Here is a 25,393-nt window from a genome sequence, read left to right on the forward strand (position 1 = left end):
TGCCTCAGCCTTCCAAGTAGCTGGGATTACAGGTATGCACCACCATGCCAGGCTAATTTTGTATTTTTAGTAGAGATGGGGTTTCTCCATGTTGGTCAGGCTGGTCTCAAACTCCCGACCTCAGGTGATCCACCCGCCTCAGCCTCCCAAAGTGTTGAGATTACAGGTGTGAGCCACCGCGTCCGGCCAAGTAATCAACTTCTAATCTATCACTAAAATCTGAGTACTGAAGACCTTCCTCTGGAGCCTCAGTACATTTTCTTAATCCAAATGGGTCCAGGTGCCATGGTGATTACCCTTATCTTGTCTCCTGCTAAATCATGGAGATTCCTTTAGTCCCCAATAAAGCTTACTTGTGGAGGTCTAGGGAGTTCCTTTAGACCCCCAATAAAACTTGTTTAATCCTAAATGGGTCCTGTTAAGAATTCCTTCGTTATCTTGTCATGCTTCAAGGCCCAGGGAAGACCTAGGCAAAACTCTTGGTGGGCTATGTTACATTCCAGCCTTTGTATGAGGACACTGGCCCCATCAGTTTTTAATATTTATATTAACCACTCAGTCAGTGCTGAAACAGTTGTCGCAGAGGCCTGCCTATTTAGCTGTTAGTGAGACCTGGCCTGCCACACTTTCAATCAACTATTGAAGGACACACAAGATCCTCTTTTATTATTATTATTATTATTAAAGCTGCCATGTTGAATCTCTTGAAAGTTAAGGCCCATGTAAATTGAGGTGGGGGAAACCTTTAGTGAACTACATCACTCTGTGTACTTCTTAGTTCTTAGGACAGATGACTTTATTACAGCCTCTGAATCTATCAAATGTATCAATTTTTCACCAGGAATATCAATTAAAAATCAAATTATAGTGATAAATGTATTAGCAACCTAAAGTTTGGTAAGAGAAAGATATGTGAAAAACTCTTTTTTAAAGACTTGCCTTAGGCATCATTCTTCTTCTCCAACTCTTTTATCTCCATTTCCTTTAGGTTGGTAAGATACTTTCTTCATTTCTAGCAATTTCACCAGAGAGGTCAACAATCAAATTAAACTGGTTTTACTTTAAAATGATAGGTAGGCAAACTTGTGGAGATACTCTTTTATTTAATGTATTCATTAAAAAAAGAGGTGGGATGAACATCCACCCATTCCCACTACCCGTTACTTTGGGTATGGGTGTGAGAGGGGAAGAAGTTCATAGTGATTGGGTGACAAGGAAAAGTGATAGTACCATTGCTGATACAGGGAGAGTCCCAGAGAGAGAAACCAGCTGGAGATTAGAGTATTAGTTTCCTGTAGTAGGTGGCTTAAAACACACATTTAGTGGATTAAAACAACACACATTTATTTACTCACAGTTCTGGAGGCCAGAGTCTGAAATCAACATCACTGGACTAAAATCAAGGTGACAGTAGGGCTGTCTTCCCTCTGGAGGTTCGGGGGAGAATCCGTTCCTCACCTCTTCTGGTGTCTGGTGGCTGCCAGCATTCCTTGCCTTGTGACCACATCACTTCAATCTCTGCTTCCATGGTCACACTGATTTTTTTCCTGCTCTGTGGTGAAGTTTCCTTCTCAATCTCTCTTATAAGGACACTTGAAATTGCATTTAGGGCCCACCTGGATAATCCCCAGGATAATCTCCCTATCTCAAGATTCTTAGTCACATCTGCATAGTCCCTTTTGCTATGTAAAGTAACATTCACAGGTTCCAGGGCTTAGAATGGGGACATCTTTGGAGGCCTTTATTCAGCCTACTACAGTCAGATAAAGCACACAGAGAGGCTGGTGTGGGTTTTATTTGTATGTTGTCTCTGAGTGTCTTCAAGGTTAAGATCTTTCGAGGACTAAAGAATATTGGTTAATTCCTAACATCCTGAGCTATACAATGAGTGTGGAAAGAGTTTGCCCTTTTGGGGTGGATGAGTCAAAATGCTCACACTTTATTAAAACCATTATAGTGAATTTTACTGTTCATTCCGTGGATGTTCCAGAAAAAGGCATATTCTCTGCATAGTGTAAAGCTTAGTCATGCCTATTAAAGATATTTTGTCATTCTTGAAATTGTTTTATCTCCTCGATGTATCTGTTACAGTTATCTTAAAGTTTTAGGTAAAGTTTCCTTTCCTTCCTAACAGTTTTTATTTTATGTATTTCCTCAGTGTATGGATTGTTTGTGATGCTTATGTTTGCACTGTGCATTGTAACTTTTACAGGTGTATAATAATAATTTTATCCATTTCATATTTTTTGCCATGATACATGATGCTGTATCTGATTCTAACATTTCTACCTCTCTATTCCTCTAACTTTTCTATATTCCTTTTGACTAGGGAAGATTTTGAACCCCTTTATTTTCAACATTTCTTTGTCAATTTGTTTATATATGTGTTTCTTATAATTAGTAAATTTAGATTTTTACCTTTTGATATAATCTGATTGTATTTGCCTTTTATTGGTACCTTTTAAGCCATTTATATTCACTGTGCTAAGTCAGGTATGGTCTTATTTTGCCATTTTATTTTATTCTTTGTGGTTTATACTTACCGTTTTCTTCTTCCCTATACTTTATATGTCATTGTAGCTCTTCTTTTTTCCTATTAGTTATTTTTTCCTACAAATTTTATTCTATATTCCCATTTATAGAATGCACATTTTTGTTCTACAGTTATATATACATATATTATATTCACATATGCATATTATATGTATATAAAATATACATATACACAGAGATTAGCATATATATGTAATTTTCAACCAATTATAAGAATGGAAGACTGTTACTGATTCTCCTATGTAAGAGAATTATCACACTTTTACTTTCCTCTTCTCTACTCCTGCTCAACATGTATTAATTAATTAGTTTTTTAGGTCACATTCCTGGTATAAAAAATATTATTTTTTTATTTTGTGTATTTTCTTTCCCAAGAAATATATTTGATACAAGAATTATGTAACATATTTATGTTAAAAATTAGTAATTATTTATTAATGTTAATTTTAATGGGTGCAGTATACATAATCAATTTTTAATATCATATTACCTCTTGAGATTTAATAGTTTTATTTATTCTTTTAGTCAGCTGTGGTATTTTCTTAAGTATCAAAGAATTATTTCCCCCATGAATGGTAAATGGATACTTGCATTTTCTGATTTCCTCTCACTTGAATAAAAGTTTGGTTGCCTGCAGAATTTTTTAATCCGAATTCGCTGATGGATACTTGGGTTGCTTCTACTTTTTAACTATTCTGAATAATGCTGCTGTGACAGTCATTTAAAAATATAAAAAAATTAGAGCATTTTTTTTGGGGACTGAGATATGCTCAAGATAAATTAACTGTCACAGGAGAACGTAAAACATAAATATCTAAGGGTGAACCAGAACCCGAAGGCCAAGTCTGGGTGATAGGATATTATGGAATGAAAGAATAACCCATACTGATGAAAATGTCACTTACCAAGATGATGATCTTACTGTGTAGGAACAGCAATTGTTTAGCTACAAAATATGTGGTAATCATGACTTGCAGAAATAAGACTGGTAAAGTCTCCCAGAAACTTTCAGGATTCCTAAAACCAGTCCTTTGTCCAAAAGTCATCTTCATAGTAGTGGCCATATCCTGAATGAAGTTACTCAGTTCTTAAAAGCATACTGTCTAGGTCTGAAGAAGAATACGGAGAGTGAAGGCAGATTCATGGACCAAGGAAGGTATTCATAAATAGAACATATAATGGGGTATGAAATGATTTTAAGGGGAAATGACAATGACAATGACAGCCATATGTAGTATGTAGGGGGACTATTGCTTTCAATCTTGGAAAATGAGTTCAAGTTTTGATTGCATCAAAATGGAGCCACACTGAAATTCTCAGGTAGAATTAGCCATACATCCTTTGTTTCTGGGTTTCTGAGATATTGGTGACAGAACTGAAACTAAGAACAGATCTATTGTCAACTATGATTGTCTTGCCTCCTTTTTTTCTCTGATCTTGTTTACTGCCTGAGTTTCCCCTCACATTATACCACCACAACTAAGCAGGGACCTTATTTATTAAGAGTACATTCTTGCATATTTCTGCTTTAACATAGTGTTAGTTCAGTATCTAAGAGTGAATTAAGGGGAGAAGTAAGCAGTGTCTGTATATGCTACAGACAATGAGAAGACTGTCTTACTGCAATATTTTAGGCATGTGCCTTGACTTTGAATGAAAGTTCCTGTCCATATCCTAAAGGAGAAAAGAGGTGCACTCATATTATTAAATATCCCCTAGATTTTAGTGAATATATGGACTACTTTTTTAAAGCAAATCTGTAAGGGCAGTTGTCATTGTGGAGAACTGTGGGTTTAATTAGTCTGTCTTAATAATATAAATGGAGAAAATTTAGTTGAGAACAGTGTTGAATTTTTAGCAGTCCAACGATATCTCTTTGTGGAGAGAGCATTTGCTTTATTAAATCTCCATGAGATAAACTCACATTTTTAGGGGAGTGTTAAGAGAAAATCTCTCCAAGTGTTTAAGCCTGGGAAAATGAGAGAGGGGAAATACAGAATGAGGTCATGTGAACTGTCAATTGTGAATAAGAGGAAAAGTCAGAACCAAAGAAAAGCCCTTAGTGTGTAGAAGAGGTACAGATTGAAAATGAGCTGTCAAAAAGAAATGTGGGGGATAAGCTAGAATAAAACACCTAAAGAATAAATTTCAAGGAAAAAGAGGAACATTAATAGGGCCAAATATTGATTAAACTTGACTGAGATAAAGGGAGAGAGAAAGGTGGTTTGATTTGGGGATTAGGTTATTAGTAACAATCTTCATAAGCAAGTTTCCAACGACTTGTAGTAGTAGAAACTGGGATGAAGGGAACTATGGTAATTTAGGAAGGACAGATAGAGTATCAGTATCTTTGAAAAGTTTGCAGGTGATGAGATCAATGAGGATAAATGATAACTTAATGGGGTGTCACGGAATCACCTTAAGTTGGCTGGTGAAGACTTGGGCAGTTTTTAGGAACAGATTATATTAAAAACAGGAAAAAAAGAGCAAAGAAAAATATATTAGGACTTCTAGCTGCATGGTAAACAATAAACTCTGGTTTCACTAAATATATTTGGCATATATTAATTATAGAATTTTCCTTGCAAATGTTGTTACAAATTATATGATATTTCCTCTTTTCCAATTTTCCTCTTACAAGGTAAATTCACCTAATCTTTATTATGATATATTTGTAAGGGGAATTGAATTATAAACTTTCTTAGGCTAAAATAAGGACAAAACAAAAATTTTCTGATAAAATTTTCTTGCAGTATGCCACCATTTGCCAAAGGAAATCAGCCATTGTAGCCTTTTCTGCAATCTTAAGTTTTTTGGACAAATATCTATTGTCCAAACTAAAATTTAGTTCTAATTCCATTCATATTAGATATATTTATTTAATACAGCATTCTGTTTAATACAGACTTTATAAATAGAATCACATTTTATTTTTAAATGTCATATCCTAGAGGAATGTTTGTACAAATCATTTAAAAATGAATAGTTTAAAAATAACTTAGCTTTAGTCTTTAAGTATTTACATGCTGATTTGTCATACATAAAAGGATATTCTTCTTCTTAATTATATCTTTCTGATACTGAATTTTAAAGGTTTTTTTTGTTTTAATTACACAACTGGTGGTGACAATATAACCCTAGATGGCTATGGTATATTTGTTCAGGTGCCTTGAGAAATACCAAAATTTTTGACAATTTTTTTTCCTTTGGGCCAGATCTTTTTTATTACAATGAAAGAGAAATTTCAGTACACTAAGAGACAGAGACTCTACACAGAGTTTCAATTTCCCCTTAGCTCCTATAAAATGGAATATCATGCTACTGAGATATCTCATGCACTGCTCTTGCCTTCTGTCTGAAGATGGGATTCATGAATTACCTGAATCATCTGGATCCCTAGAATTGGATTAGTGGCTCAGACCACTCCATCTTTTGGGGCAGATGATAGAGGGTGTCTATTTCCTACAGCTAGGTTGTTGCAGTAAGATTACATAACTCTTATTTGATCTTTCTCATTATTTTTTTCAGGACATAAATTGTGTTCCAATTCTGATATCCAATGATCTTACCTCATTTGGGGTAGGTTAAAGTTGATACTCATTAGGACTCTAAGTACCATATTTTTCTACTTAGTGCAAACGTCAGAAAGTAAGTAATCATGTTTAAACTGACAAGAGCTTTAACCAGGAAGTTGCCTACATCACAAGATCTCCTTCCTGTGGTAATGTGCATGGAGTCTTCCACAAAGAGACAGACAGATGCCTGCAATAACCGGCTTAAGAAAAGATAACCATCAATACCACTGGTTGATTTCATCTGCTCCTATGAGAAGGACAGATTGTACATGGTGCTGTCAGATGATCTCAGACCATAAAGAGATTTCCTGAGAGATCGTTATAATATTGGGATAAAAATTTATTACAAAAAAACTCATAGAGTGAATAAATGATAGAGGTAAACAAAAGTTTATTCTATTAAAACTTACATTTTGCAGCTTATTACAACATATGTTATGATTTGAATGTGTCCCCTCCGAAGTTCAGTTGTTGCCAATATGATGGTATTAGGAAGTGATTGAGATCGGTATTAAGGTATTAAGATGGTCTTTAAGAGGTGATTAGGCCTTACAGTCTCTTCCTGGCTAATGGAGTTAAAAGGCCCTTATAAAAGAGGCGTCACACAGTGCTTGTCTAGTTGCCTTTCCACCTTATGCCATGTGAGGATGCAGCAAGAAGGCCCTCACTAGATCAAATGCCTAGAGCCTTACCTTATATTTTCCAGCCACTGAAACTGTGAGAAAGTACATTTTTTTCTTTATAAAATAGTCTGTGGTATTTTGTTACAGGAGCACAAATGGACTAAGACAACATGCATGTAATTAACAAATGGGTCTTCAGTATAAGCATGAAGGAGATAGCTTTCCAGTTTGCTAAGAGATGTCTAAACTGGACATCCTTAACAGCTGCCCCTCCACCCATAACCATTGCACCAGTTTCTATATAAAAGGTCAGAACTCTGCCTTTTACTTCGAGAACTTCTTTTCTGGAAAGGTCTAACAGCTTACTATCCATCCCATTATAACTAGCTATAATATTCTGTCAAATTCCTTCAAATTGATTTCTCTGTCTTAGACCACCATACCCATCATAATTCTGAAAGCTGAAATAGGATGAGCACCCTCTTCTCTACAGATAGCCCTATATGGAACCCTTGGCTTCTGCTGAGATAAGATTTGAGATAGGAGAAAGAGAAAAGCTAGTTTGCCAACCAGAGGGAGGATGATGTGTTCAGTTTGCAAATGGTAAGATTTAGATGTTCTGTAGACAACTAGAGGTATTGGAATCCAGGCTTGGATGAGAGGTTTGGTTTGGTACATCAATTGAGTAGTCATTAGTATAAAAATGACAACTGGGCTGGGTGTGGTGGCTCATGCTCGTAATCCTAGCACTTTGGGAGGCCGAGGCGGGTGGATCACCTGAGGTCAGGAGTTCGAGACCAGCCTGGCCAACATGATGAAACCCTATCTCTACTAAAAACACAAAAAATTAGCTGGGTGTGGTGGTGGGCACCTGTAATCCCAGCTAATCGGGGGACTGAGGCAGGAGAATTGCTTGAACCTGGGGGGTGGAGGTTGCAGTGAGCTGAGATCGCACCACTTCACTCCAGCCTGGGCAAAAGAGTGAAGCTCTATCTTAAAAAACAAAAAACAACAACAACAAAAAACCATCTGGTGCTAGAAGGCAGGATTGGTAGGCAAAGGGGAAGTAAGTGGAGAGAGATTGGGATTGAGGACCCAGTCTTGCAGCAAGAAGAGGAAGCAAGTTATTGAAGGAGATGTGAAAGCCAGGTAGAGAGGTAAGAGAAACCTATTACAATGGCCCCATCACAGCGGGCCTTCACAGTCACACAAGCTTCACATTTGGATCTCTAAATGAGATCATGTCTCTATATTTTGTGAATATGTATTAAACTTTTAATTTAGAAGCAATAAATATTTAAAACATATGGAAATGTTGGGACGCTTTAAAAGAAATGGGCTGTGTGTGGTGGTCACATCTGTAATCCCAGTGCTTTGGGAAGCTGAGGTGGGAGGACTGATTGAGCCCAGGAGTTTGAGACCAACCTAGGCAACATATTAAGACCCTGCCTCTACCAAAAAAAAAAAAAGAAAAAAAAAAGTTGGGTATGGTGGCACATACCCATAGTCCCAGCTACTTGGGAGGCTGAGATGGCAGGATTGCTGGAGCCCAGGAATTTGAGGCTGCAGTGAGTCATGATCACACCACTGCACTGCAGCCTGAGCAACAGAGCAAGACTCTGTCTCAAAAAATAAATAAATCAATGAAAGAAATAAAAGTTGCTTGGATTCTTACTAACTTGTGATTAGTCCTGGGAGGAAAATCAGAAGACTGTTCCAGGAACAGGCAATTGAGGATGTCAGAAAAGTCAGATGTTGGCAAGATGTCAAAGAGAATAAGAACTGAGAGAAGACCATGATGTTCAGCAAGGGGGGCCACTAGAGCTCCATAAGAGAGAGGCCTGGGTATTGTGGTCAGAGGAAGTCAAGGAATTAGTAAATGCTAAAGAAAGTGGGACAGGTCTCAAGCATCCTTTAGAGAAGTTTGGCAATTAGAAGCATGTGTGTGTGTGTGTGTGTGTGTGTGTGTGTGTGCCACTGTTCATTTTTACCTCTCATCTCCTATCTCATCCAATACCTAATATTCTCTAGGGAAATGGAATCCTGGCTGAAAGGCAGGCTTGTCCTTCAGCTGTCACAGTGCCCAAGAAGTGCACAGAAGGGAGTCCTTTTTTTTTTTTTTTAAATTTATGCTGTGGTTCTGGGAGCCAGAGATAGAGAAAAAAAAAGTTGTCCTGGAGTCTGTTGCATTGTGACTGAATCAAGTTATCCATAAAAGGACTCAAAAGAGGAGTCTGGGTTCACAGCTTAAAGGAATGAGGCTAAACAGCAGAAAGGCTCAAGCAACCACTGGTGGAGGGGAACAAGTAAGAACTTGTCTGGAGAAGTTTGGAGCCAAGTATAAATACCCACTGCTGACATTCACACATTCCCAGCTTGCTTGTCCAAGGGCAAGCAGGAGTCATTCAGAGCCTGAACTTAATAGGCATCTAATATTGCTATGTGTTGTTATATCTCAACCACCACCAACACCACCACTCCCAGCTAGCACTCACAGAGCACCTGACCTGGGAACAGTGCCTGAATCAGAAACAGAAACTTCTAGACTGATGTGGTTCAGTGGTGCTTACATAGGCTATTGTTTACTACATCTGCACCAACCTTTCAGGAAGCATTTGGCTTGTACATTTAGCTCTGTGGCCCACTGAAGAGAATTTCCTGTGGGCAGTGGGGTGAGGAACCCTGCCTTAATCTGCTTCTCAGGTATTCTTCTCCCTTGCTTTTATGTGTCAGAATCTGTATAATCCTTGTAGGGCCTATCCAGGAGTAGGCAGAGCCAGAGTGCCCATTCCTGATGTCCACAAAGTACAGCAATGCACCCAGGCTTGATTTGGAGCCACTCTTGCCTTCCTGACTGTTTTCAAAGATATGTTGCATGGCCTCTGAGCCAGTGCAACAAGACTTGCAGGCATTGGTATTTGCATAACAAATAGTAATTTTTTTTTGCTTAAATAAGGGAAATAGGGAATATTTATCATAGCTATACATTTATTCATTTAATTCCTATTTATTTATTCATTCATTTATTCAAACATTTCTTAAGCATGCACCACGTGTCATGCCTATCTTAGAGGCCACAAAGGTTCTAAAACTATTACGTGCCGACAGAAAAAGAGACCCATATACATGTAGCATTATGTCTTATTGGAATTCAGAGCAGGAAGAGAACACATCTGGCTGGGGGCAGGATGAGGAAGGACCTGATAAATTTTCTATTGAACAATTACTCTAAGTGTGCTTTCTTTAGATGGTAAGGATTAGACCAGGATTCAAGATTACTGGATTTTGAGTCAAAGTTTGAACTCCTTGGGGGAAAATCTGCATATATGCAGAGTCATGGTGGTAATTACAGTATTAAGCCCCATTTTGGAACACTTTGATCTGATCTGATTTAAAATTTTATTTCCTGAAAGGTTTACTCACGTCATATTAAGGTACTCTAGTCTTTTTATTTGCAAACTCATTTAAAATCTAAATACTGCTCTCTGCTTTGGACTTGGCTGCTTTTCAATAACAGGAAGGAATACTGTTTTCATCAGTTTTGTATATCCGCCACGAGAGGGCAGCATTTTACTTCTTTTAAGATTTAACGCTGTTCTACAAAATGCTGAGCTGTGCCTGGAGGGCTTTGTGATGTGGAAAATCTTCAGAAATGTTCAGTGAAACCCAGCATCCTCTGATTCATCTTTAAAGAGGAGAAAAAAATATTCTACGTGACTCTATTACCAATCTTTGGGCAGAGAACCAAATAATTTGGCCAGGCTCTCAATCTTTGTGGTTGAAAAGTTATCAGGAAATTTAAAATGTAAATTCATAGTTACAGAGCCACTAGTGAAAATTTGCTTTTTAATGAACTTTTTTTTTGGTCTATATTTTCACCCTCTGGGGTGGGGGCTCTTTTAAATGCGCCTGTTTAACCATACTGCATCCAGAAATGTATACATATCACAAACCTGTTGGTAATGACACCAATGCAAGCTCCGTTTCCCTTCCAGTCATCTGTGGACCACACCTACACCAGCGCTTCCTTCTGCGCATCCTATGGCACCTGTCTACTTCCTGTTTTGGGAATCCCCACAGAGGCTAGCACAGTGCTGAACTTGTAAAAAGTACGCAATAAATGATCCTCTTCCTGAACGACATTGGATGATAATAAAATCTCTTGTGAGAGAGAGGTGAGACGGGGGAGGGGAGAGAGACAGAGACAGAGTCAGAGCCAGAGAGAGATCAAAAGGGAAAAGCGGGCAGCAGCAGGGAGGCAGGCTTGAGGAGTCCCTGTCTGATTTACGTGGGGGCCACAAATTGGTTTGATCAGGTGTGAAGTTTACACGGCGCCGGGAAGGCTGGTTGCCCCACCCTAATCTTATGCAAATGGGCTTTCCACTTGCTCAGCGCCATCTTGTCTACTCCTTACTGTACATGTGGCTGGCAAAGAGAAGGGAAGATAGAGCTCTCGTTTTGAACACGTAGTTCTGTGTCCGGAACTGGTGGGTTCTTGGTCTCACTGACTTCAAGAATGAAGCTGCGGACCCTCGCGGTGAGTGTTACAGCTCTTAAGGTGGCGCGTCTGGAGTTTGTTCCTTCTGATGTTCGGATGTGTTCTTGAGTTTCTTCCTTCTGGTAGGTTCGTGGTCTCGCTGGCTCAGGAGTGAAGCTGCAGACCTTCGCGGTGAGTGTTACAGCTCATAAAAGCAGTGTGGACCCAAAGAGTGAGCAGTAGCAAGATTTATTGCAAAAAGCGAAAGAACAAAGCTTCCACAGTGTGGAAGGGGACCCGAACGGGTTGCCACTGCCGAGTGGTCTGTTTTGACAGGGCGCTGATTGGTGCGTTTACAATCCCTGAGCTAGACACAAAGGTTCTCCACCTCCCCACCAGATTAGTTAGATACAGAGTGTGGACACAAAGGTTCTCCAAGGCCCCACCAGAGTAGCTAGATACAGAGTGTGGATTGGTGCATTCACAAACCCTGAGCTAGACACAGGGTGCTGATTGGTGTGTTTACAAACCTTGAGCTAGATACAGAGTGCCGATTGGTGTGTTTACAATCCCTGAGCTAGACAAAGTTTCTCCAAGGCCCCACCAGAGTAGCTAGATAGAGAGTGTCGATTCGTGTATTCACAAACCCTGAGCTAGACACAGGGTGCTGATTGGTGTATTTACAATCCCTGAGCTAGACATAAAGGTTCTCCACGTCCCCACCAGACTCAGGAGCCCAGCTGGCTTCACCCAGTGGATCCCGCACGGGGGCTGCAGGTGGAGCTGCCTGCCAGTCCCGCACCATGGGCCCGCACTCCTCAGCCCTTGGGTGGTCGATGGGACTGGGCGCCGTGGAGCAGGGTGTGGCGTTCGTCGGGGAGGCTCGGGCCGCACATGAGCCCATGGAGGGGGTGGGAGGCTCAGGCATGGCAAGCTGCAGGTCCCGAGCCCTGCCCCGTGGGAAGGCAGCTAAGACCCGGTGAGAAATCGAGCGCAGCGCCGGTGGGCTGGCACTGCTGGGGGACCCAGTACACCCTCCGCATCTGCTGGCCCAGGTGCTAAGCCCCTCCTTGCCTGGGGCCGGCAGGGCCCGCCGGCTGCTCCGAGTGCGGGGCCCGCCAAGCCCACGCCCACCAGGAACTCCAGCTGGCCCGCGCAAGCGCCGCGCGGAGCTCCGGTTCCCGCTGGCGCCTCTCCCTCCACACCTCCCTGCAAGCTGAGGGAGCCGGCTCGGGCCTTGGCCAGCCCAGAAAGGGGCTCCCACAGTGCAGCGGTGGGCTGAAGGGCTCCTCAAGTGCCGCCAAAGTGGGAGCCCAGGCCGAGGAGGCGCAGAGAGAGAGCGAGGGCTGTGAGGACTGCCAGCACGCTGTCACCTCTCAGTTCCAGGTAGTGTTTTCCTATTGGCACAACTTCAGGCATTTGCATGTGCAGGCTTCCACCTTGCTTGCCTATGTCTGCAACTTCATTTTACAGTCTGCTCTTTGTTAGGAAAAGAAATGATTTGAGGGCTGCTTTTAATTAAAAGGAAAACCTTACCAAGGACTCCTGTACCCTCACTATCTGCCTAATTTCTTCTTAACTCCTATATCAATAAAACCCCACGATAATTTTTTCCTATAAAAATGTGTTATTTGAAGAAATTAACGTAAGCTGGGTGTGGTGGCTCACACCTGTAATCCCAGTGCTTTGGGAGTCCAAGGTGGGAGGATCCCTCGAGGCGAGAAGTTTGAGACCAGCCTGGGCAACACAGGAAGACCCTGTCTCTATAAAAAGTTAGAAAATTAGCTGGGCATGTTAGTGTGCACCTGTAGTCCCAACTCCTTGGGAGGCTAAGGTGGGAGGATCATTTCTGGCCCCAGGAGTTTGAGGTTACAGTGAGCTGTGATTGTACCACTGCACTCCAGACTGGGTGACAAAACAAGACCCTATCTCTAAAAAAAAAAAAATTAATATAAAATGTGGAACTTTTCGCTAGTGGAGATGAATGAATATAGTCTGCAGATTTATGGAAATATGACATCTAAAAAGACCAGAATAATTCCTAAATGAAGAGGGGAAGGATATGCCCTAGAATAGGGCATAACTGAATGTCTGGGGAAGGTTTTCAAACTTTACTCCTTCTAATGCAAACCTCTGTGACCCCTTACAACCCCTTCCTCTGGATGGGTATCATTCCATATAATTACAGGCAGTACTGAGAGGGAGATTACAAATTGTAAACATTTTCAGAGGTGGGGGGAGAAAAGATGGAAACCACAAAGACACAGCTATATAAAAGGTTAATTGCATGTATATTTGGTTATGTTAATTTTTGTATATATGCTTCATATCTTTTACAGTCAGTGTGTTAGTGGCAAATAAATACGTGGAACTTACTTTCAAAATATTTTGTTGTTTCTTAAAGTGCCTAATTGTACGCGAAGCCCTTTTATAAGAGAGGTGGAATAGCATGCAGAATCTGATCATTAGATTCAATAAGTAAATACGTATTGAGTACTGATGAAGTACCAATTAAACATTATGATTCATTTTGATAAAACAAGCCAGTCGCATTAGTAAGAAACAGCTTGCTCTGGCTGGAAAACTTGTTCCCTACTTTCACAAGGTTGACTTCTTAATCCGATCAAATGAAAATGTCATGTTCAGCAGAGAGGCCATTTCTGACCATCTAATTTATAGACTGAACACCCCTTACCCCGTGATTCTACTTTATAGCACCTTGTTCTGTTCGCAATTTATAATTGTATTATCACCTGTTTACTTGATTAATGTCTGTCTCACTCATAGATTGTGAACTCCATGAAAGCAAGTATCAAATCTGTTTTAAAGCACACCCAGCATTTAGGGAAATACCTGAGGTAGAAGGCATTCAGTAAACACTTGTGGAGTGAATGTATATATTTCTTTTTCTATATGTGAAAAAACCATTTATTATACAAATCAGTTAAACTGTGATGTCAGTATTATGTCAGATTAATATTATAATGTCATATTCATTAACAACGAGGCCCATAGTAAAAATGAAAGTGTATTTGTCAAACAGTTCATTAGTAGGAAATTGAGTTTAGTATAGTATGAGATTTTCAGGTAAGATATTCTAATCTTTTTGAAGATATGACAGCATATTTAAGCTTTGGGCAGGGCTGACTTTTTTTTTTTTGTTTTTTTGTTCTTGTTTTTTTTTTTTTTTTTTTTGAGACAGAGTTTCACTCTTGTTGCCCAGGCTGGAGTGCAATGGTACGATCTCGGCTCTCCACAACCTCTGCCTCCCGAGATCAAGCAATTCTTCTGACTCAGCCTCCCGAGTACCTGGGATTACAGGCATGCGGCACCACGCCCGGCTAATTTTGTATTTTTAGTAGAGACAGGGTTTCTCCATGTTGGTCAGGCTGGTCTTGGACTCCCAATCTCAGGTGATCCGCCCGCCTTGGACTCCCAAAGTGCTGGGATTACAGGCCTGAGCCATCAAGCCCAGCCTAAGCTGACATTTTTGTTTCCCACAGATGTTTACACCAGAATGGCTGTTGCCTATTTTGATTGGGCCAGTGTCTGAGGGCTGATTGTTTGGTGCCTGTATCATAACAGTTGTTAATAATTTGAATATATAATGTTTAAATATGTAGTTTGTCTTTGATCTTTTGACAACAGAGATAGCTTCATTTACCTAAAGGGGTACTGATTTTAAAAATTAATTCATTTGAATTTAAACACATCATATGCTAGACAAAACTTTTAGGGAAAGAATATGTATATATGTGCATGTAAACCACACAGACTGAAAGAGAAGCATTCAGTACATAAATTATTAGGCTCAAGTGGGAGTTTACTATAGAGTTAGCTGCTACTTATTTTCAGAATTTGATTTTATGTTTTGAATTGGAAGAATGCTGATCTGAGAGTCAAAAACTCTTAATTTTGAGCCATGGATGCATAACCTTGGGTATGTTAATATTGGGCTTAGTTTACTGGTTTGCAAAATGAGATGAGTGGACAAAATATCTTTAAAGTCTATTCTAGGCATGAATTTTCATGATTCTGCAGTATATGTTCCTTTTAACAAGTGAGACATTACCAGGACAAATATAGGAAAAACTGGTAGTATCCCCTTACCCCCTCACCCTCCTGAGTAACCAATTTAATATGCACTGAACATCCTCTATCATCCTTTTTGGCACACACAAACATATATAAACAAAAATAAATGTATGTAAGTTTTCTTGCTTGAAAAAAGTAAAAATATACATTCTTCAGATGTGTTTCTTTGCTAATAGACATCTGAATGTCTTTAGTTTTTATTTTTGTCACTATAAATAGTATTTCAGTAAACATCATTGTAGAAGTATCACTATATGCTGATGCTTTTGGTTTTTTTCTGTCAGATACATTTTTGAAAATGGAATTTCTGGATCAAAGGTATATGCAGTTTTCATTTTAATAGATAATTGCTAATTTCTTTCTAAAATATTTATGGTGATTTAGAATGATAACAGTGCCAATTTCCCTGTATTCTTGCCAGCACTGAGTTAATATTTTGTTTTCTATTGCTGCTCATCTGAAGGCTAAAAATGATGCCATTTTTGTTTAATTTGAATTATCTAGATTTTGTTGGAAGAAGAAAAAAGAATTCTACTTGCATCTTTTCAAATGATGGGTCTGCATACCATCTACTATGAATTGGCAATTTGTAGCCTTTGCATATGTCCATTTTAAAATGATCAACTTTTGGATATTATATATACTGTAAATATTTTTTCCAGTCTTTAGTTTGTCTTTCTGCTTATGGTTTACATAGCCAGATATACTTCCATTTTTTATAAAATAGGTAGTTTGTTTTCTGTCTTTCTTAAGTGAGAAGATCTTCACCAAGGGCTTCCTTCTGGAATTTTTATTGGTTTATTTAAAAATATTTAATTCACCTGGACTTTAAAAAAAAATGTATAAATAGTCTAAATTTGTATTTTTACATGGGGTTTTTAATGGAGACGTACTGAATTAAAAGCTCATTTTGTCATATATAAAGCTCTCATGTGTACTTGGATGTAATTCTAGATTCCCTGCTCTGTTCTCTAGATTTGCTTATTCATGTGCCAGTGCTATACTATTCTGACAGCTTCATAGCAAGTTTTAATGGCTTTAGAATTATATTAAATATGTATATTAATTTGGAATGGTTAAAATATGAATATAATATGGTGTCTTCCCATTCAGTATCATTTTGTGCCTCTCCATTTAATAATATATTATTGTTTTCTTTGTATAGCCCCTGCATGTTCCAGAAATGTCAACCTTTTATTGTTATACGAATGTTTTGATTTTATTTCCATTTCTAGCTGTATTGATGAAAAGTTAAACTACTGATTTTGGTATATTTATCTCATAGACAGCCCTTATTAAATTTTCTTATTAATTCTATTAGTTTTTCAATAGAGTCTCTTCAGTTTTCTAGCCACGTTATATCTGCAAATACAGATGATTTTGTTTCTTCTTTTTCAACATTCATAGCAAATATTTTATTTTTTATGGTATTGCAATTGCTAGAAACTCCAAAAGAATGCTGAATAACCATTGTCTGAGTGGATATTCCTACATTGTTCTGGATTTGAACAAAAATGGCTTCAGTATTTATATTAGTCCGTTTTCATGCTGCTGATGAAGACATACTTGAGACTGGGCAGTTTACAAAAGAAAGAGGTTTAATGGACTTACAGTTCCACATGGCTGGGGAGGCCTCACAATCATGGTGGAAGGCAAGGAGGAACAAGTCACCTCCTACATGGTTGGCAGCAGGCACAAAAATAGAGTTTGTGCAGGGGAACTCCTCTTTTTAAAACCATCAGATCTTGCAGGACAACAGCCCAGGAAAGACCCACCCCCATAATTCAATCACCTCCCACTGGGTTCCTCCCATGACAGCTGAGAATTGTGGGAGTTACAATTCAAGATGAGATTTGGGTGGGGACACAGCCAAACCATATCAGTATTTTACCTTTCTGCCTTTGCTACTTTTTATTTTTTTAGAGAAGGGGTCTTGCTCTGTTGCCCAGGCTGGAGTGCAGTGGCACAAACATAGCTCACTGCAGCCTCAAACTTCTGGGCTCAAGCAATCATCCTGCCTCAGTCTCCTGATTAGCTGGGACAACAGGTATATGCCACCACACTCAGCTAATTAAAAAAAAAAATCATGTTAGAGATAGGGATCTTGTTATTTTGCACAGTTTGGTCTTGAACTCGTGACCTCAAGGGATACTCCCATCTCAGCCTACTGAGTAGCTGGGATTACAGCCACTATGCCCTGCCAGTTTGTTTATGTCAGATATGCTTTAGCATACTTATTTTCCTTCTAGTCATGTTTTACTTAGAGTTTCTTACACAGGGCTAACTGTTGGATTTTTTCAATGGACTTTTGGATGCCTAATTATAGAATCATATGACTTTTTGCTTATATTTATATGTATATTGTATATTCCAATGATGAACAATATTTTTATTCCTAATGAAAATTCTATTTTGTTATCATATTATTATTTTAACATAACTGCTGAATTGACTTGTTACTGCATCATTTATAATTTTGCATCTGTTTTCATAAGATAATTTATCTATAAATTTACAAACTGTTTTGTCAGGATTTTAAAATTTGGACTGTCATAATTTTAGGAAATAATTAGAGAACTTTCTTTTTCGGTTGTATGGAATAGTTTAAATAGTAGGCAGATTATCTGATCTTCAAGATTTTAAAATGCCATTTATTTGACTATAACTCTTTTGGTGTGCTAAAATATATTTTGAGGGATATTACATTTGCTAGAAATGAAATTTGTTCAAAGTTCATTTCTGCCCTAAAAAGCATGTATGGCAGAACTGAAAAGGGGCATGCTTATTTCCACTAAGGAAGCATGCTGAAAGTCTCTCTACATCAGACAATTTCCACAAAGCAATTTTGTAGGAAAAATAAATAAGAACAACCCAAACGAGGAATTTATATCACCATAATTTACTGAAACAGAATCTTTAAAGTGGGGGAACCAAGGAAATTAAACCTACTAGGAAAGTTTTATGTTGTTCTGATATGGGAGTAAGACCATGTATATTTCATTGTAAGCACAGAGTTGTAGAAATTAATATGCCATTTGATAGGAGAGAGTGAAAATGAATTCTATATAGATCCATTCCACTGAGACTGATAACAAATTATTTATTTATGAAATATCTACATCTTGGACCATACAAAATGACCCATTCATAATTGACCCATTCTTCAAGACCATAAACTATTTTAGCATAAATGCACACCTTGGAAATCTTTCCTTATTCACCTAGTTTCATTTCAATAGCACTGCTTTGCCTTTGTTTAATTGAAAATTAATTATCTTACAGGCAAGTCCCAGACTCCTATCCAGGAAATATTGCCTCATTTATTTTTTTCTTTGCCTTGACCGATTATAACTTCTGGAATCCACTGAGATTTTCATATTGTGTAGTTAATTATTTTGCATAATTTGGAACCAAAGTCTATTCTGGTAACAATTGTCTGTGATTTTAAAGCTATTTCCTGAATAGTCTCTGTCATTCTGTAAGAAGACTGCAGGTCTAATACAGATGTTTGAATTGTTAGTTTCCATCTCTAAGATCATACCACAAAGATTTTTGTGAAGCAAAGACATTAACATAGTCCAAAAAGCAATTTAAAATCTGAACAATCAGCATAAGGGAAAGTGAGATGTTCCATGTAGTCTTCATAATTGCTCTGAACCAATATATCCTAAAGGAATGTGCACAGATACACTTTTGAGAAAAAAAATTTATGAGCATCGGATGAAGAAAGATTCTGTGCATTTCAACTCATCAGGGAGAAAAGAGCATGTGTCCTATTTTATTCAGATATGTAATAAAATTATGTAGAAAAATCACAAAGACCAGCAAAATCCCTGAATGCTCTCTATGCACTCAGGGATTTTTATTTTATACACTCTTATTTTTATTTGAGGTTTTAAAACTAGAAAATTTGGATATTAAGTTTTCAATTAGAGATACACATGAAAATATATTTCTCTGGATCATGAACATAGAATTAGAAAAGAACATAGACATGGGAGGCCTGAGGTGAGTGTGGAAGCAATAGGCAAGCTTCAGAGAAAAAGACTAGAAATTTTAACTATGAGATTAAGAGCTCAAAGGGAGAGACTATGTAATTTTTGAAATGTCAATTAAAAAATTATTAGGCTGTGTATTTTTCTTCTTCTGAGAGGCATTTTAAAAAATGCTTAGATACTTCTAAACATTGATTTTTGTTTAACATTCATTTTTAATTAGATATTTAATTGTTAGATATTAGAGATCAATTTTTTGTTGTTATTGGGGTGAACTGGAATATTACTAAAATCAACTAAATATTCTTAGTTTTAACTTTCTTATGAAGGTAATGCATTCTGAGAGTAATGTTTGTGCATTTGTGTTACACAGAGGAGCTCACTTTCAACATGAATATAGTTTCTATTTCTATTTAATTCATTATGTATTCTTCATATTATTTCTGTATTATTAACTAGATTGACAATACCACATAAGTGATTGCTGGCATTTTTAAGATGTGTTTAAGATGCTTTCATATCTCTATAATTCCAGCATGATATTTATAAAACTCCAAGCATATTTGGTAAGGAATTAATAAACTATTTAAAACAACACCTTCAATCGCACATTAATTAGTTTAGCTTGTGAAAGCTTTCTGTTTTGATCAGGATGTAGAGGCAATTGTGTTTAAAAAAAAAAAACACAGAAGAAAACCTACAAATAGGGAAAGGTTGAGGCTTGCTAATGTGGAAACCAGATCTAGTTGCTTAAAAAAGAAAAGTATGTAGGAAGAGCCTCTAATTTTCACTACTCTCTTTGGGCTTGGAGAAATGCCCAGGTTAGTGACAAAGGGAACTTTGGGAAAAGACTCTAAATCTACCATAAGAAAGAAAATGGAAAATCAGATGGATGGCTTCATTAAAAACATAAGCCATCTAGAATTTTTGAGAGTTCAAGGAATAATAGCAGGATTTCTATTGATTTTTTTCCCAAATTGAAATATTACTATGATTTAACAATTTCAATTATTTTGAAAATAAGCGGCAAGGTAGCTGTAAGCCAGTAACTATAGTCAAACTCATTATGAATCTGGTTTTTTGGGGGGCCAGTTTTCACATACTCTCAGTAAGGGGTCTTGAAACCTTATTGTCTTCTCTGATCTTTATCACTTTTTGAAGCACAATTTCTCTTGCATCCACCTTTTATTTTTCAGATGCTATCTTATGATACCTAGGCTACTGCTTCTCATATTTTAATGTGCACATGAATCCCCTGAAGATCATGTTGTACTGGAGATTCTGATCCCATGGGTCTGAGGTGGGGCCTGAGAGATGCTAGGTTTTGTTTTTGTGTTTTTGAGACAGAGACTTCAGGCTGGAGTGCAGTGACGCTATTTCTGCTCACTGCAGCCCCCGCCTCCCGGGTTCAAGCGATTCTCCTGCCTCAGCTTCCTGAGTAGCTGGGATTACAGGTGCGTGCCACCACACCCAGCTAATTTTTGTATTTTTAGTAGAGACGGGTTTTCACCATGTTGGTCAGGTTGGCGTTGAACTCCTGACCTCAAGTGACGTGGGGGGTGGGGCGGGACTTGGCCTCCCAAAGTGTTGGGATTACAGGAGTGAGTCACCGCACCTGGCCGAGAGATGGTGTTTTAACAAGGTCTCAGGTGATGCTGATGCTGTTGTTCTGCTGCCCATACTTTGAGTAGCAGGGGTCTCTAGGATACTGAAATAGCCAGTTACATTATTATATATCACTAGATTGATCTTTCAATAACAGGGGTCTCCATCCCCAGGCTGCGTACCGGTACTGGTCCGTGGCCTGTTAGGAACTGGGCGGCACAGCAGGAGGTGAGCCGGGTCCAGCTAGCTTACCGCCTGAGCTCCGCCTCCTGTCAGATGCCTCCCATCAGATCAGCCTTGGCATAGATTCTCACAGGAGCACGAACCCTATTGTGAACTGCGCATGTCAGGGATCTAGGCTGCGCCCTGCTTAATGCCTGATGATCTGAGGTGGGAGAGTTTCATTCCGAAACCATCCGTGGTTCTCTGGTATCGTCTTCCTTAGGTTTAATTAGCAACGTTATACTTAACGTTTCGAAGTGTTCTTTCTTTTTCTATGTTTTGGAACAACCTAAGCAGAATTAGGATTATCTGGTATTTGAGGGTTTGATAGAATTCCCATGTGCAGCTATCTGGGCCTGCTGACCTTTTAGTGAAGTGACTTTTTTTCATAGATTTTTTCCTAAGAAAATTAGTCTACTTATGCTACTTATATTTAATGGGATCAATTTTGATCAATTGTATTTACTGGGAAATTCCTATTTTATCGCTATATTATTTTCATAGAGTTGTACAAAAGTTTCTTAAAACATTTTGATGTTCTCTCTTTTAATTTCCTCTGTTCATTTTCTATTGTGCGTATTTAGGTTTTTCTCCTTCTTATCCCCACATAATTTACCAAGTGATTTACCCCTGAAAGAACCAACATTTTAATTTCTTAATTCTATTTTTTCTAATAATTAATTTCTGCTTTCATTATTACCATTTTTTTCCTGCACTTTCTTATGGTTTACATTGTTTGTTTTTCCTAGGATTTTGGGCTGAAATTTTAATTCATTTATTTTTATTCATATGTATTAAGACTATAAATTTCCCTGTGATCATGGCTTTGATTATAACCCATATATTCTGAGAGGTAATATTTTTATCATTGTTACATAAAGAAATCTGCAATTTCATTTAGTATTTCCCTTTTTACCAAAGGGTTTTTTAGCAAAGAGTTTTTGCATTTTTCAGCTGGAAAAGCTATTTTGTTTTGTTTTCATTTGTTTTTCTTATTAATTTCTGTTTATATTGTACTCTGATCAGAAAATGTGGTTTGAATTATTTCTACTTTATGGAAATTATTGAAGATTTCTATGTGATATTATATACGGTCAATTTATGCAAATATTCCATATGACCTTGAGAAGGAGGTATGTAAAATATTATTGGTGATAAAATTCAAAATATATTCATAAAATCTACCTTATTGGCTAAGTGATAAGTATTTTATACCCTTCCTTGTTTTTTGTCCACTTGATTTTCTTGGCCAGGGAATGATACATTCAAGTTTCATATTATTGGTTTGTTTTTGACCATTTCTCTTGGAATTTCCTGTGGTTTCTGCTTTATAAAGGTGGTGGTTGTATTCATGGCTATTTAAAAAACTCAATTTTCTTTTTGAACAATATGATCTTTTTCATTTTAACGTGTCCCCCCTTGTCTCATTTAATACTTTTGAACATGATTTATACTTTGTTCAATATCAAGATCATCAACCCTGCCGTTTTACTGCCTACATTTGCTTAGTATAACTTGTCCATACATTTATTTTTAGCATTCTTGAATCTCTTTAAGTGTGTCTATAGCATGTAGTATAGAGTTGGGTTTTACTTTGTGACCCAATCTGAAAATCTCTGTAATAGGTAAGTTAAGCTCATATACATATATTAATATGAGTAATATGTTTGGTCTCAATGTGTCATATTGTTTTTTATATTTACTATATATGTTATAGTTGCTATGTTTCTCCATGTGGTTTGTTTCCTTGTTTTTTTTGTTTTTTTTTTGAGATGGGGAGAGGGTGCAGTATTTAATTTGATATTTAGGAAAGTTTGTATTTTTCTAGTGGTTACTTTTCTACTAATACCTTTTATATTGCTGTTAGTCTCTTTATGCCTTATTTAGGCTTCTACTGTTTGGTTGGTAAGTTTAAAATGATTTTCTTTTATCACTATATGATATTCAGTATGTATATTTCACTTTTCCTTTCTTTCTCTTTTATGCTCCCATTTTGTAGTTGTGTATTTTTTTTACTTTGTCAGAATATATACATTACATATTATTCTTTTACCTCCTTTCCCACTTTCTTCTAGTCTTAGATCTACAATTTAATATATTTATTAAATATATTCAGTGCTACCAGATGGCTTTCTTTTTGCTGGTTTCCCCATTCGTAAATGATGGGATGAAACTCTCTAGCAGATTCCTAAAGAAGGACTCTCACGAGAACTGTATTCTTGGGTTGTTGCATATTTAAATTTTTCTTCTATCACCTTGACTCTCTATGTTTAGGAGTGAGAGACTTGGGTGGTTTAATGGGATTCTTGGTTTGAGAATGCCTTATCCTACTGTACAGTGAAGTACAGTTTCTTTGATAGATGGGACATTTTGCAGAGGAAAGTTGATGTATATCTTCCAGTTCTGATTCTCTTTGGTTTCTTCTTCATCTTCCTTCATTTCTGACGCTTCCTTCTACTTTCTCTTCACCACTAAGTCTCCAAGGGCTCCACCTCCCTGTCCCTCCCAGGCCATATCTTCCTAAGACTGCCACCTCTGGCACTGCACACGTTTTTGTCCCTTCCTTTTACTTCTCCAGGAGCCAGGGTTCTGATTCACTAGGTTGCATCCCTGTTTTCAGTATTTCTCCACTCCAGGCAGAATTTCCTCCTTCTGGGGGTCACTTTTTGTTTTTCTGGGTTCTGCTGCTGTTGAGTCCTACCATCCTCTCCTCATGGGCCCTGGTGTGGCCCCACAACTTTGCTGAGTCTCTCCTCACATGTAAACTGGAGTGTGTCACACGGTCTATTTCCCAAGTACACTGTAGACATGGGTTATAGGTAGTTTTATTTGCTCTCTTTTTGGATCAGCGTGGTTTGTTTTGGAGAATGTGAACACAGATTTAAATTTAGGTAGTCACCATCAGCCTGCGGGATGTTGAAGGGCAATGAACACCACTTTTTTATTTCAGTAGTTTGAGCCCATTATATTGTAAGAACTTTGGGGGCACCTCTTACAGTATCAGGCTTGTAGTAAATTATAACTAAGTAGCTAATGGCTAAATGAATTAATAGATATTATAATTCACCTTGCTTTAGCAAAAGAGATTATGGAGGAGCTATTCTAATATTTAGAACAAAATAATTATAATCATGTTTTCCTTGTCTAAACTTCCTTAGTTGCTGACTCAATGGCTTAATTGCTGATAGTCTATCAGTGATATAATATTACAGAAACTGAATACAGAAATTTTTTAATTCACTTGGATACAATTCTGAGAGGATAAAGTGAGGTGAGCCCATATCAGGATAGAAAACAATGTGGTAAAGATGATTGTCTCTTAATAATTCATGAGGTGAGATAAAAAATTTTAGGTAAAGAATGGAATAAGCTATGTAGTTGTATTTCTTTGATTAAAAAATTCACATATATTAAGCTGTCTTCTTTTAGCTACTTGAAAGGATGTCATGTAAGAAAAAAACTTGAAAAATGCATGGAAACTTGCCAATGATTTTGATCAAAGATTGTTGGCAGACTGAGGGAAGTGTGTGATAAAGTAAATGTTGCCAAATAACTTCTATGTTTATAGTAGATGGTTTTCTTAAACTTAATTGTGTAGTTCTGTGATGACACAAAAACAGAGGAACTCAAAAAGAGGAATCAGTGCCACTTTCAGGGGACAGAACCAGCAGTGGCTCCTATCACTCTTCAGAGCAGAACTTTCTGTGATGATGAGCATGTTCCATATCTGGGCTGTCCAGTATTAGCCACCAGTCATATATGGAGAATGGACTGAGAAACTAAATTTTAAACTTGCTTATTTTAATTAGTTTATGTTTAAATTAAGTGGCCACATGTAGTCCGTGGCTACTGTATTGGATGCTGCAAGTGTCCAGAGAGACACATTCATGGTTTCAGGCTTGAAGTTATCTAGTTTGGGTGAGAGACAAAGAATAAAAGAGGAATTTGAGGGGAATGAGGAAGTAGGGCTATCTATCAATATCCATCTATCCATTTGAGAAAGGAAGAGAGGGACTGGTTTTTGATGGGGGGAGAAAAGGGGAATGTGCTTTCTTACTCTTGGGTAAGTCCAGGACTACTTGTACAAAGTGTCAAAGACCTTCACTTGTTGCCTCTGCTGTTTTGTATTAGGCTCCAATATATACATTTATGCACATCTCTACTATTCTTATTATTACTTCGTATTAGTGAAACCCATGGATAGGATATTACTTGGTGAATTGGATATTTTGAATGCTAAGCTAAGGA

The 25,393-nt window shown here is 37.8% G+C and overlaps 2 annotated features.

The window, feature by feature from the left end:
- Positions 1,343-1,530: a silencer, noted in NCBI's record as "fragment chr2:165840567-165840754 (GRCh37/hg19 assembly coordinates)". NCBI's record gives its function as "represses an EF-1alpha promoter that drives an FKBP-Casp9 reporter gene in an ReSE screen in HepG2 liver carcinoma cells {active_cell/tissue: HepG2}" and the evidence as "EXISTENCE:reporter gene assay evidence [ECO:0000049][PMID:32094911]".
- Positions 12,185-12,685: an enhancer, noted in NCBI's record as "H3K27ac hESC enhancer chr2:165851409-165851909 (GRCh37/hg19 assembly coordinates)". NCBI's record gives its function as "activates a minimal SCP1, AML or CMV promoter by ChIP-STARR-seq in naive H9 embryonic stem cells {active_cell/tissue: H9 hESC(naive)}" and the evidence as "EXISTENCE:reporter gene assay evidence [ECO:0000049][PMID:30033119]".

The sequence above is a fragment of the Homo sapiens genome, chromosome 2, assembly GCF_000001405.40.
Source record: "Homo sapiens chromosome 2, GRCh38.p14 Primary Assembly".
Taxonomy (NCBI): Eukaryota; Metazoa; Chordata; class Mammalia; order Primates; family Hominidae; genus Homo; species Homo sapiens.